General features: G+C 33.5%; 1 protein-coding gene across 20 annotated transcripts in view; it reads left to right on the top strand.

Moving 5' to 3' along the window:
- Positions 1-14748, top strand: part of PCDH15 (protocadherin related 15) — a 1825172-nt gene that overhangs the window by 1475840 nt on the left and 334584 nt on the right. The window lies entirely within an intron of this gene.

Below are 14748 nucleotides of genomic sequence, written 5' to 3'. Positions count from 1 at the left end.
TCAAATACTCTGTGGTCCCCACACAATACATTGTGATATTCATCCAATGATGAACAAATTTGAGATGTTGCATTTATTATATCATATATTTTCTTATGTGTTTTGATTTTGATCTAAATGTTCTATTCAATTCTATTATTTATATTTTATAACCTATTACCACACAATTTTAATGATTAAGCTTACATAGTATGCTCTATCCTCTGGTGCTACTAACTTACCTCAATGCTGTTTTCCCTCCAAAATGTTCCCTCTCCTTCTGTTAAGTTTTCTCTTTGACTTTAAATAAGCTAGTTCAGTGTTTTTGTTGTTAACTGTGTTTTTATTAGGAACACAAGAGATTTATATATTAATTACTTAGGAATATATTATATATGTTTGATGTTGAATCTTTCTATCCAAGAACATTTTGCATTTGCATTTGTCCATGCATTTTTTTGTGTTTTTTAGCAGGCTTTTTGTTTTTCTTTTTATGTAAGTTCTGTACATTTCTTACTTGATCTATTTCTACATCTTTTGTTTTTATTGTAAATAGGCTTTTTTTCTTTTACATTTTTTCCCCCTAGCCCAGGTCTAACTCTGTCTCCCAGTCTAGAGTGTAGCGGCACAATCCCGGCTAATGGAAGCCTCAAACTCTGGGCTCATGCAATCTGCCCACCTCAGCCTCACTAGTAGTGGGGACTACAGGTTCAGGCCACCAATCCTAGCTAATTAAAAACAAATTTGTAGAATCAGAATTTTGCTATGTTGCCCAGGCTCGTCTCAAGCTCTTGGCCTCTACTGATCCTCCCACTTCAGCCTCCCAAAGTGCTGGGATTACTGGCATCAGCCACGACGCCTGGCCTCCATTTTCTTTCTTTACTTTCATTTCCTATTATACTTCCAATAAAAATGCTTGTCTCGTTTGTGACTTGAATGAGACTGCCTCAGTGTTTCCCCATTAGATTGGTCTATGGTTTTAAAAACTATTAATATGTTAAAAAAATACTCATCTATTTCTATTTTATTGACTTTTTAAAATAGTAATGGTGCTTTTCTCAGATCAAATAAATAGCTACCATATATGAGGACAGTAATGACTTTTCTTCTTGAGTTGATGATATAATGACTGATCTTACTATAGCTCCTATTTTGCATCCATGGCTTAGATGGATCTATTTTGCATCCATGGTGTAGATTCTATTAGGACATAATTTTTTTCTCTTGAAATAAGCTGATATTATATGCTTGCTGTTATTTTATTTAATAAAATTAGTCTGTACTTTTCTTTTTGAGAAATCCTATCAAGATTATGTATAGTTGTCATAATACTTCATAAAAGAAACAAATAAAAACACAAGAAATCCCCCAAAATAATTAATAACTATAATATCAGACATGAATGTATTATAAACATATATAAAACAAATAAATGAGACTGAATTTGGTTCTCTGGAAAGAAACAACAAAAATAAAGACATAATTAATTGGATAAAATACTATCTAACCTAATCAAGAAAAAAAGAACAAGTAAAACTGTATACAATAAAATCTAATGAAGAAACTACATATAAATAGAAAAAAAGTAGGATTCAGAGACAACTTTGCTTAAATGTATGCAAAATTTGAAAACAGAAATGGATGATTCTTCTAAAAGATACAGTTTACTAATATTAGTTCAAAAAAAAAAGGAAGTCTCAAGAATCTTACGAGATCAAACTTGTCAGATAACTCAATACTACACCAGGTGTAGGAAACTTGATGGACTGTAACTAAACTTTGCAGGGTGTGTGATCATCATTAATCACAGAGATACGGTTGGTGGAGTATTAGATTCTCATTTACATTTTTAAACTAGATTTCCTCCTCCTCAATAGTTTGTTTTCCTTTGAATCTCGTGTCAAAAAATAATTATAACGCCCATTACCCCTCCTTGCTGTCATCGACAGATGATAGGTCTCTTCCCAATAAATTTTCTTCTTTCTAACCTCATATCCTATTGTCATCTACATACTGGAAGTCACACTTGGAAGAGTTTACTTCCTACATGCCTGACATTCATTTCAACAGTACTCCTGTCAAACTTATTGGTGACTTTATATCCAATAAGAGGTTTAAGGCGTCTCCCATCTTGCAGTCACTCTGACCAAACACCCTTAGAGTCATCCTCAATGCCCCTCTTCCTCCCCAACTCCACACATAACCTGGAGCAACTCCTCTGTGTTCTACTCTAAAAATGTATTCAGAAAGCAACAACTGCTGCCACTTTGGTTATTAGCATTCCAGTCCAAGCCACTGCAATCTCTAGTCTAGAGTGTTGAAAACTTCTTCCAATTACAAGTCTTCCTGTGCTCTCTTCAATCTCTTCTCAACACAATAGCCTGGGTGATCCTGGTAACATGGAAAACATCTCAATCCATTACTCAAGCTTTCCAGTGCTTTCACACCTCACTCTGAGTAAAAGGCAAATCATTAAAATAAATTCAAAAGGGCTCAGTGAAATTTGTCAGCTATCACTACAGGTAGGACACTCCCTCATGTCAACAGTTTATACATTTCATCTCCTACTCAACTCTGCTTTTCTTAGTCCATTCCAGTTGTGGCACCAGTCTCCTCTCTATCTCTGAGGATCATAGCTACCTATATGCTTTTGAGCTTGATTTTCATCTTCTCTCAGCCTGGATGGATCTTTTCTCAGATTTCTCAATGGCCTCATTTCCTTCAGGTGTCTGTGATAGGAAAAGTTTCCTTTCAGCCCAACAAACCATTTATTACATACTACCATTTACTACATTCTGGAAAACAAAGATAACTACAGTACCATCATTTGAAAGCCCCCAAAATACAGTAAAGTATATAAAGAATATAAATTAAATTGAGTTTAGCATAGCAATTTTGAGATTAAGGTAAATTCTGGGCTTTCTGGGGTTATTGATGGGGAACTTACGATAATGAAGGAGTACCAAGAAGTCATCCCACAATAAGAGGATGAGGTTGACCAAATGAAAAAGAAGTATGTGACCCTATTTGCACAGCCTCAAAGGTCTGAAATAGCTTCTTGTTTATAGATAATTATTAGTCAGTGTTACTGGGGCATAAACTGATTCAAGGTGGGGCTGGAAAATTAAAAGGCCATGCCACAGAAAATTTAATTTTCTTTTATAAGAAACTTAGACTTATCTAGTCAATAGGAGGAATTCTTGGAAAGACTTTTAAATTAGAAAGTCAAGTGAGAAAACATGTTTTTGTAAAATCCATCTGATTGTCTCTGTGGGAGGCAGATTTTAGGGGAGCAGAGGCACAAGAGTCTACAGGAAATACTGCTAATGTTTTGAACTGGGTATGTTAGGAAGAATAGAGAAATAGATTTGTCAAAAATAAGATAAAATATTTCCCAGGGTTTTGCTTAAGGTGACGTCATGTTGATGTCAATAGGGGTGCACATGGCTTGGGTGAGGACATCAATTTAATTTTGGACACATTTAGTTGGATGTGGCCAAACTTAATATATCCAAAAAGCAAATATACACTTGGCCCTCCATATCCACGGCTTCCACATCAGTAGATTCAACTAAGTGCAACAATTGAAAATATTTGGGGAGAACATTACATCTGTACTGAACATGCGCAGACTTTTTTTGTCATTATTCTCTAAACTACAGTATAACAACTATTAGCATTAATATTTTATATGTATTACAAGTAATCTCGAGATGATTTAAAGTGTATGAGACAATATGCATAGATTATATACAAATACTGTCTCATTTTCTATCAGGGCCTTGATTATCTGCAGATTTTAGTATCCTTATGGGCTCTGGAACCAATCCCACATGGATGCTGAGGGAGGACTCTGTATGCCTGAACCTGATAAACAGCTAAGGGCTCCTTCTTAGAAGAAATATATAGAATACTTTTATACATTGAGTAGTTACAGAATCTACAATAAGAGCCAAGTAAGGTTTGAGTGCGTTTTAAATAATAGCTTCATCTGTGCTAGGTTATTCTGAAGAGGAATTAAAGATGATTGATAATACTTATTGAGCATACACTAGGACCAGATACCTTGCTAGCTCCTTTATATATATAATTTCTAATATTAACAATAGCATCATGACTTTTGCATAATTTAGTTTTGCACACCAGAAATCTGAGGCTGAAATAGGATAATTGACTTGGCTCAGCAGTCCCCTTTCCCACTTCCACTCCCCTAGTAAACAAGTAGTAGGACCATAACTTGAACTCAGAGTTGTTAGATTTAAAGCTTTTTCCTCCACTGTTTCATATCTATAATCTTTGTAGTTACTGTTGTGGAGGAAAACTATAATTGTTTAGTAGCAATGATAATAATGCTATTTATAAGAACAAAGTCACCTTTTGTTTTTTTATTTTGATTTTATTAAAGTCTTTTAATATTCAAGACTTTTAATTTATTAGTCTTGAATATTAAAATAAAACCAACCACAAGTTGGTATTATATATACATATTTTTCATTGAAGATTGTGTTGTGCTAAATAAATCTGGTCTGATCTATATGTGGCCAATATATTACATTTGAAGTGTTTTAAATCACTTTATTGATTATTTAATGAATGAGATCTTATATTCCTCTTTTTGCTCAGTTTCTATTTGTAAGACATATCATTGATTTTCCTGGATAATATATTGTCTATAATTATCAATACAATAAATGTTTTTTACTTAAGTAAAATTGTATTCCACGCCAGAAAACAAAGTGCCATCTTCAGATTCTGAGTATACACGTCTTTTCTGTGACATCAGAAATTTAGTTGACCTAGCTTCACATTTATTTTCATTAAATAATGTCTTGGATACTAAAAACTCACCTTAGAATGTTTGGTGAAATATCAAGTGGGACCTGCAGAGAATAAAATCCATATACTTCCATTCTACCTGCTGAGATAATGTCATGTTCACTGTAGGATAATCATATTTGCTATTTTCTGGAGAGGAGTTAATCCTTCAAATTGAATTGATGAATGAACTGAAAAGTTATGAGGCTTTGCTTTCAGACTTCTTTTATAAGGAAGATTATATTTAAAGATTATGAACAAATATATATATTATATATTTGTATATATACACATTATATATACACTATATATATACATTATATATATATACACTATATATATACATTATATATATATACACTATATATATACATTATATATATATACACTATATATATACACTATATATATATGTATACACACACTATATATATAGTGATTTTTTTTACAGATCGACCCAGCCAGCAACCATGGCATGTAAGCTAACTAAATAATAACATCAAAAAATGACAGCAGGCTTCAGAATTTAGACAGTTTTCTATATTATTATTTTAAAATTGACAGCTTTCATCCATAAATGTAGTAATATTGACTGAAAATAAGTCCAATATGAATGAAATACGTATGTCTGTGTTATTCTAATTTAGTAAACCAGCTAAAGATTCAGAGAGTGAGAGAAGGAATAGTACATAGTTTAGTGTTTTGTTTTACTTTTTTTTGAGACTTTGATAAGCATACAGAAGAAATAAAAACCAAAAGCTTTTAAAAAACACTTAAGTTATTTTGGGATATTCTTTAGTCGTGTATATTGGTTAACTTATACTTACGTTATCCAATTAAATTAAGTAAATATTTACTTCATCCTAACATGAATAAAGCACTACTGTTTGATAATTAGATAATAAGAGACACTCTCTCTCCCCAAATAGCTTCTAATAAAATTACGATAAAAATGACTGATGCATGGGCTAACATACGTTTTAAATTCCCATTCTTTTCATAAAATGCAAGGCTATGTTTAATTAATATGAGATGAAATAATTTACTTTGAAATACAATTATTTTCCCATTGTGATTATACATTCTTTTTAAAATACAATTTTCTCTTTAAAAGATCATTTTACTAGTGACAAATGTACATGCTAAGTTTATCATTAGTAAAAAATGATGAGGCTATTTATTTATTCATTTATTTTTATAAAAATTGTCTAAGTTCCCACAAATATTAGTCTCTTGGGGAGGTACTAGAAATATAAAACAAGTAAAATGAGATCTCTGCCCACATGGGATTCAGATGCAGGCACAGGTAAATCTAGACAGATAGCAGTAGATAAATACAAGTGCAGTTTTACCTGGGCAAGAATGATAATGGAATATCCCAGCAGAGGAAACAAGAAGATCAAAAGAAACAAAACAAAGTAGTGTGTTAAAGAACTGTGAATGACTTGGCACTTTTGGTTATAATCACTAATCTGCTTAAACTTTACCAGCTGAGCCTCATTGTCAAGATGAAGTTTATATCAACAGATATAGCCCATGAGTCCCACCTCTGTACCTTAACTCTTACTACTGCTTTACTTACACCCTTCTCTTTAGTTCCACAAAACATACATTTCTTTTCTTTAATCTTCTGTAAATTGACATGTGAGTTTTCCTCTGTCTATTAATGTTCTGTGGTATTTATATATAAATACATCTTCTATCTTAAAACTCTGCCCTGTAACTTCTCCAGAAAAGTTTTCTCTGTCCTCCTATATTGGTTTTCAATGTGAAGTTTTTGCTCTTGTAGATTTCTATATGTATTTCAAAAATAATAGAATACAATCTGTGAACATCAAACTGTAAACATAGCTTTTCTAGCACAATATTGGTAGAAGACAAAGGAAAACAAAAACAGTAATTAATCTGTCTGAAATCTACCAGAAAAAGCAATATAAATATCTGTAACCTTCATCTTAGAAATAAGCTAGAAATGCAGAATTACAAATAGACTCCTTGTAGCACATATTGACATATATAATAGAAAATAATAATAAGATAATACAATCCTCTATAAGCTAGCAACATTATCTCATTACTACTAATTACTATTGTCATATGAAAAAGTTGTCTTTTTATAATTATATCATTCCCAAACTTAAAGTATCTTAAGTCTATTTTCCAACCCTCTTCTTTATTCATATTTTATGTTATTCTTACAATAAGTGTTATAGATGAAGTTTGATTCACAGTATTAATAATTTAAAATTGTGACTTCATAGTCTGAACCTCAGACTTGAAATAATTTATGGCTTCCTGTAAGGTAACATCCTTTATTACAAACCAAAAATGTTTTATATTCACACATAGATAAGTAAAAATTCTCCAGTTTATTTTACATATTTGTTCTTGTAGGACGTAGGGAGAAATGGAAAGCAGATTTTGAATTCAGAAGCCTTGTATTTTAGTTTATCTGCTGTTGCTAATTAATGTTATAATCTTGATTCAGTCAGCAAATCTTTTCCATTTTTAAAATCCTCTTTTGTAAAATGAGACTTAAATTACATTGTTTTAAGGATCTTTTTCAATTATAAGATTATTACGAAAACACCAAGGTTTCGGTCTAGGTCCTGCTGCTAACCATGCAGAAAGCCAATCACTGACACAGCAATTATAGGCAAGGAAGAAGGCTTTAATTGGGTGCTGCCGCTGAGGCGATGGGAGATCAGTCTCAAGTCCATCCTCCCGACCAACTAAAATTATGGGAATATATAGCAGGGAAAAAAATGTAACAATGTGTAAAAAAACAAGAACTAGGGAGGGGCAAGAAAGCAATCATGATGAATGAGGGGTCTAGCATCTCATTATCTGAATATGGTGATCTGGTGCGTTTCATTTCTTTAATACTTTTTTGAGAGGCTGCAAGTGGTTTTCTGAGGAAGGAACTCACATAAAACAGAAAACAATTCACAAAAGTTTCAAGCTTTAAGACCAGAAGGGTCAATTTCTATGTTTATCGAAAAAGTGATCTATGGGACTGTTTGGTCGGTTTCAGTCCCCCCTTTCTATTTATCAATTTTCAATCATGGGGAAACTGGTTGTCAGTCTTTCTGGCTGCTTAATACTGAGGAGGGGCATCGTGGGCAGCGTCATACTACAGGTGATTTCACGGCCACCCAGAAATCAAAGGCTAATCTAATAGTATCATTTTCTTCTGAAACACAGCATTTTCTCTTCAGCCCCCCAACTTCCAACAAAGGCAAGTCATAGCAGGACAAATCTACTTGCAAAAGAAGCTTCAGGCCCATATACTTAGCCTGATTAACCACCCAAAGTGCAACAAGGTTCATTGTTTATATAGGACCTACACTGGCTTTTCTGGAACCTTTCCCAAGCCCATTTCAGTTCAAAGCCCTAAGAAAATAACCACTTCCTCCAATTGTGTCCCATTATACAAGAAAACAAGTTGTCATTAAATGTATGCAAACTAACACACATGAATTAAGAATATAATTCCGGAGAAAATAGGCAGAGAAAAAATATGCCTCAAGTTCTGTTTACAAAAGTATACTCTACTTAATATACTTAAAGCATAACTTAAAGCTTATAAGTAGATCTAAAAAATTATCCAGACTCTGAAAAACAAAACAAAAAAATCAGCAATATTCCAAAGATAAAAGCCACAAAAATTATTTCAGTCCTTCATTAGTTTAGTCCATGCAATCAATTATTGCTCTGCTTCATGTTGGGTTAACAATCTTTATGAACACATCAGCCTTTCAATTAGTGCCCTGGAATTTTCCTCTCTAACCTAATGGCACAATCTCCAAAGTTATCAGTAACCTGCATTGAAAAGTTCTTTTCACGAACACCAAAGAAGCAATCCCTAGACTGTAGCTGATTATAAGTCACTTTTTGAGAAGGATCAAAGCAAAACAATAATTGTAGATGACAAAAGTCTTAAGAGAGTCATAGTTAAAGGCACAGTAGATAAAGAAATTTGGTTATTTCTGTGGCATACAACAATGTAACATAATAATCATAATTATTACTGACAACTTATATTAAGACATATCAGAATTACAGGAATCTCATATAATCCTCAAACACATTTTAACAACCCATCCATATAAATATCACCCAAAGGAAACTTAGCACCACCTCAGATTTGACAATATCTCCTGCATAATTCTAACATAACAACTAAGCCTAATAAGCCTTACATGTCTCTCTTGAACTTCAGGGCAACTAATATCCAAAAAGGTTGGTTTGAGTTCACAAAGACTGAATTTAGAACTTGAAATTTTGCTGTTGGAAATTCTGTCGAGTATCAAAGGTTTAAGACACTCGATATCACAAAATAGGATCACAGGTCACTATAAAATATTCATTTATTTAGCCAAAATAATAAAACAAAAACATTTACCTTTTGATAGAGAGGAGACTCTGTTTCTTAAGCAATAAGACCTAATACTTAAGATAGCATGAGGCCAACTTATTCTGTCTCTCCCCTCTCCTTTTTTTCCCTGCAGTTTCCTCTTACATGAAATTTTTGTTCAAAAGAGAAAACAAAATTGTATCTTTGTATGGTATATTATTAATGTTAAATCTAATTTTAATAAAACCTTATAAACAAATCTATCTAATTTTAATCAGTTTGACAAAGTTCTTATAGCCTTTTACGATTATCTATTAAAGAGCAGATCAATGCACCAAGAAAACCCTGTTATTCTGACACATAGGCCCAGACACTGACCTTGCATCATTGTGCTTTTGACATTAACGTTTAATTTACAGAAACTCTGAACTGAGTTTGTCCCTCAAAATTGTCCCTCACCATCTCACACACCTACAGTTTCCACAATAGTTCCTGGGTCTAGAGGGATTGAATAGTTTTAATTTCTGGCCCTGTGTCTCATGAAAGCAGTTCATTTTGATTGTCACCTTCTCCTGTGTCTGAAGATGAGGCTTTGACTGGTATCAATGCTCAAAATTTAACAGAAGTCAGTGCTTTCTTCAGACTGAGGATTCAAAGACCTGTAACTTAACAGCACAAGGATTAGTTAATAGGATATTTATACTACAGAAAGCCTATTATTCTAAAATGTCACAAATTAAAACACAGTGGCTTGGAGCTTAGCAGATACTACTTATAGCACTTCTGACCACGGTGTTAAAGTAGTTAGGTTACTCATTCCATATGTCTAATTGCTAGCATTTTAGTGACAGAACTGTGACCAAAAGCATCAAAGTTTTGATAGGTCCTTTGACAAACTTTTGAAAGCAAGACAACTAATGTTGTTTTTTTTTCCATTATTGAAAAATGGCAAATGCAAATATCAGCTTTGGAAATTCAGAATAAGGATAAGCAATCTCATTTCACTTAAATACTATACAACAAAGCAAGGACAAAGTGAAAACCACATAATAATCTCTCTTCAGCTACTTAAAAGAGCATCATCACACATTTCTAAGATTTACTTCTAGATACAGTACTTACAACTGATTAAGTAACTTTCACACCAAACTCTTCAAACCAGTGCAACACTTGTGCATATTTTGTTTTCAAGTACCACATGAATGCCCATCAGAGATAAATGGATTTGGATCAAAAATTACAACAAAGTGTCACAATTTTTAAAGCAATTACTACCTAATTCAATTGAGTGTCACTTAATGTTAATAGTGGTAAACACAATGAAAGTAGTTTCAGAGAAATCCCAATCAATAAAATTTTTCTTAAAAAAACAGCCCAGTCTTTCCTGAACATTAAAACTTTTAACCCATATCACAGTTTTTCTTCACTAAAGGAAAGGATCTGAACCAACTGAAATTATTGATTGAATTGAATTACATTGGAAATAAACATCATTTAAACACTTCTATTCTCATCTACTTTTCCAAATTACAAAATATATAATGTACTATTTGTGTTTAGAACTCATAAAAATAAGTCTTTTATAAGATTTTTGCCAAGAACCTTAAAATTATCATAGCTATCAATATACTCAGAGGTAAGAAAAACCAATCAAATTTAAATGGCTGCTGTCCTTCATCAATGTTTTGAAGCTTGACAAAGGTAGTTTAGGAACTTTCAATAAACAGAACAAATGGTGAATTGTTGGAAATACATAGAAAACAAAATGACTATTCATAGAACCAAATAAAAGCTTTCCATTAGAAACTAAAAAGCATCAATAGTTTTATATATTATATATATGTATACAAATATATATACATATATGTATACCTATGTGTATATGTATACATATAAATATGTGTATGTGTATATATTTGTATATTTAAGTAGAACAAATAGCAAATAAATGAAAATTAGAAGCAAAAATAGGTCAGGCATGGTGGCTCATGCCTGTAATCCCAACAGTTGGGGAGGCAGAGGAGAGGGGATCACGAGTTCAGGAGATTGAGACTATCATGGCCAACATGGTGAAACTCAATCTCTACTAAAATACAAAAAATTAGCCAGGTGTTGTGGCACATGCCTGTAGTCCCAGCTGAGGACTGAGGCTGAGGCAGGGGAATTGCTTGAACCTGGGAGGTGGAGGTTGCAGTGAGCCAAGATTGTGCCACTGTACTCCAGCCTGGTGACAACGGAGAGTGGATCACGAGGTCAGGAGATTGAGACCATCATGACCAACATGGTGAAGCCCCATCTCTACTAAAATACAAAAAATTAGCCAGGTGAGGTGGCAGCACCTGTAGTCCCAGCTGAGGACTGAGGCTGAGGAAGGGGAATCACTTGAACCCGGGAGGCAGGGGTTGCAGTGAGCTGAGATCACTCCACTGCACTCCATCCTGGCAACAGAGCAAGACCCTGTCTCAAGAAAAAAAAAAAAGCAGAAATAAACAGTAGTCCAACCCTCAATTTATCTTCTACTCAATTAACTTTGGCTTTACAGTGTTACCCAGAGCCAAAAAAAATTAACCTGATGGATATTTTATTCCTGATTCAGTTTTTTGATATTTACTGTCTTTAAGTCCAGCAGTACCACTATACATTTTCTGTAACTAAGAAATTCACTTTAGGTATGTGATGCAGAATAGCAAATATACTATGAAATTTGGCTCCATGTTACATCCAGCTTTGGGCTTAACTATATTTAAAAAATTGCCAAACTGCTAATGTATTTCTTTACAATAATTTATATTTTACATTCATTAAGATATGAGCTTTAACTATGAACAATGCTAATTAGCCAAAGCATTCCTATTTTATCAAGTTTTAAAGGATATTTTATTATCTAAGCTTTTTCAACTTTGTATTTTCTTTGTACAGGCATGAAGATAGACACACAGAGAAACAGGAAAAATGGCATATGACTTACACAGACCATCCATGACATGCTTGGACTTTTGTTTTGTCTTAGATTTTCTTTCTGTTCTTTTTTTAATAACCAGTTATTTTAATTTTGGACAAACATTCACCATACAAAATCTTTTCTTATAAAAATTGTTATTTTTTTCATTATCACCTTCCTAAAATATATTTTCGTATCTATAACTTTTTACACATCTCTTTCTTCTACTTATTGGTTTTCTTCTGCCTTGTTTCATAACTAACCATTTCAAGCCCATAATTTTAATTAGCCTTTAGATAACTTCTGAACTAGACAAACAGATTCGTTTTCTCAATAAAAACACATCTTCTTTAGAATTCTTAGTAGCCTTAAATTTTAGTGAACAAAACTTTAGTGAACATCTGAGAAGCAAGAAATTCTGAGCTGACTATCAGATATTAGCATTTTACAGATGAGAACCATTCCACAATTTTTAGAAATATGTTTCCCCATAACTTTTTCTTAATTGGAAATGACCCAGACACCCAATGAGCACCAAAAACAATTTAAAAATTTTATATTACACAAAAAGTGTACCTACAACATTTATTCAATTTACAAGTACTTGATTATTTCATTTTAATAGTTTATCCAGATTTCTTCTGAAAACTGAAATATTAGACACCATCATTTAAAGTTAGCTTTTTCCTTGTTCATTACTTTTTTTTTTAATAGCTGATGAATGTCAGGTCCTCAACTAAATCTTAAAATTAAAGATATGGGTATTTTTGCCATTAACTCACAAGAATCAACTAACAACATTACATTAGTCTCATTTGTCAAAGAAGGTACACAAACCAAGATCATTTTATGTTAGCTGGGTTTATAGTTCTATAACCTTCTATGCCAAACCATGACACCTCAATCATATCTAGCAGAGACATATATAAAACTCAGCAAAAATGTATGCTGACAATTCTAAAGGCATTTTTATTTTTATTTTATCAAAAATGTTAAAGCCAGCTTGCTTATTGTGGTTGACTTAACTCATTTGAACTTGAAAAATACTTTGGGCTTACTTATGTGTATTCTTTTATTTATAAACCAATTTGGTAGACAAAAAAAAACGTAATACATGAACATACATAAACCATTAAGACGCATATAAACACACATAAAGATCCAATCTATTTTACCTCAAAATTATAGCCATGATATAGCAATAGAAACTCACTGGTTTACATAGCCACACTTTCTTGACCTCAGTAGGTAATCCATTGAAGGCTGTGAATCAAAATTTTGGGTAGAATAGTTTTCATGGCAATTTGCTTTTTAAAGGCTAAACCTCCCCAGACTCCAAAGAACACTGGAACCAAACAGCATCACAAGAGAACATCACATACTGACCAGGCCTGACCATGGTTAGAGCAGTAGCACAAAAGTCTGGATACATGGAACTCTGTCATGCTTTCCCATTCAATAGCAAACTCCAGATTCCAAAGAATATTGGAGCCAAACAGTGTTTCAGAAAATATTAGCTTACTGAATTCTACTTTGCTATGACTATATCAAACACACACAATCGCCAACACAATCCTACTGCTGAAACAATAAACGAGCCCTAAGAGCATCCAAACTGAAACAGTCGGGGTGCTTCTTCTTTCTACTGGTTGGGCTTGACCAACCCACAAAGAAAAATTCCTTAGGAATTTCTCAAATTGAGAGGAGCCAATCCCACTGTCTAGTCCCACAAAAGATACACACTTGCTCACACACACACACACCTCACAATTACAAACAAGCCCCCAAGAGTGTTCATACTGAAACCCCCAAAAAGTGTCCATACTAACACAGGATGCTTCCCACTTTCAGTCATTTGGGCTTGTTCAACTGACAAATAAAAATTTCTTTAAAAAATTCTCAAACTGAGAGGAGGGGATCATGCTGTCCAGGCCCACAAAGAACCTGACACTCACCTATCCGGGTGCAGATGTCAAATTTCAAATGCTGTTCTGACTAGACAATCAGGAATGTAGTTGGGGGTAGCTGCTGTGGGGCCAGAAAAAAACCAAAACACCTCCAGTGAAAATTGGGTGAGCAACTGCTTAGGAGGCCTTCTAAGACTCTTGGCTCAAGGCAGCCAAGACACAAGCAATGTGTTCTTGGTCAGGTAACGAAAATCTGTCACAGGAACACCAGGGGTTCAGTTTAGATTCTGCAGCTGGTCATACAAAAAGCCAATCACTGAACAACAATTGTCAAAGAAGAAGATTTTAATCTGGTGCTGCAGCTAAGGAAATTGGTGACAATCTCAAATCCAACTCACTGACTGACTACAGTTAGTGTTTACATAGCAGGGAAGAAATGTAACAATATGTAAGAAAACAGGAACTAGGGAGGGGCTAGGAAGCAATCATAATGAATGACGGGTCTGGCATCTCATCGGATGTGGTGATCTGGTGAGTTTCAGTTCTTTGATACCTTTTTTGGGAGGCCTGAAGGTTGTTTCCTGAGGAAGGAGCTCAGATAAAACAAATGTTAAGTTTCAAGCTTTAAGACCAGAAGGGTCAATTTCTATGTTTATCAAAAAAAAGTATATATGTATTTATATTTATGGAACTATTGGGTAGGTTTCAAGAGTATATAAGAAATATATTACCTCTTTTGTGCTACTTTG

The sequence above is a fragment of the Homo sapiens genome, chromosome 10, assembly GCF_000001405.40.
Source record: "Homo sapiens chromosome 10, GRCh38.p14 Primary Assembly".
Taxonomy (NCBI): domain Eukaryota; kingdom Metazoa; phylum Chordata; class Mammalia; order Primates; family Hominidae; genus Homo; species Homo sapiens.
This window is presented reverse-complemented; position numbering and strand designations above follow the sequence as displayed.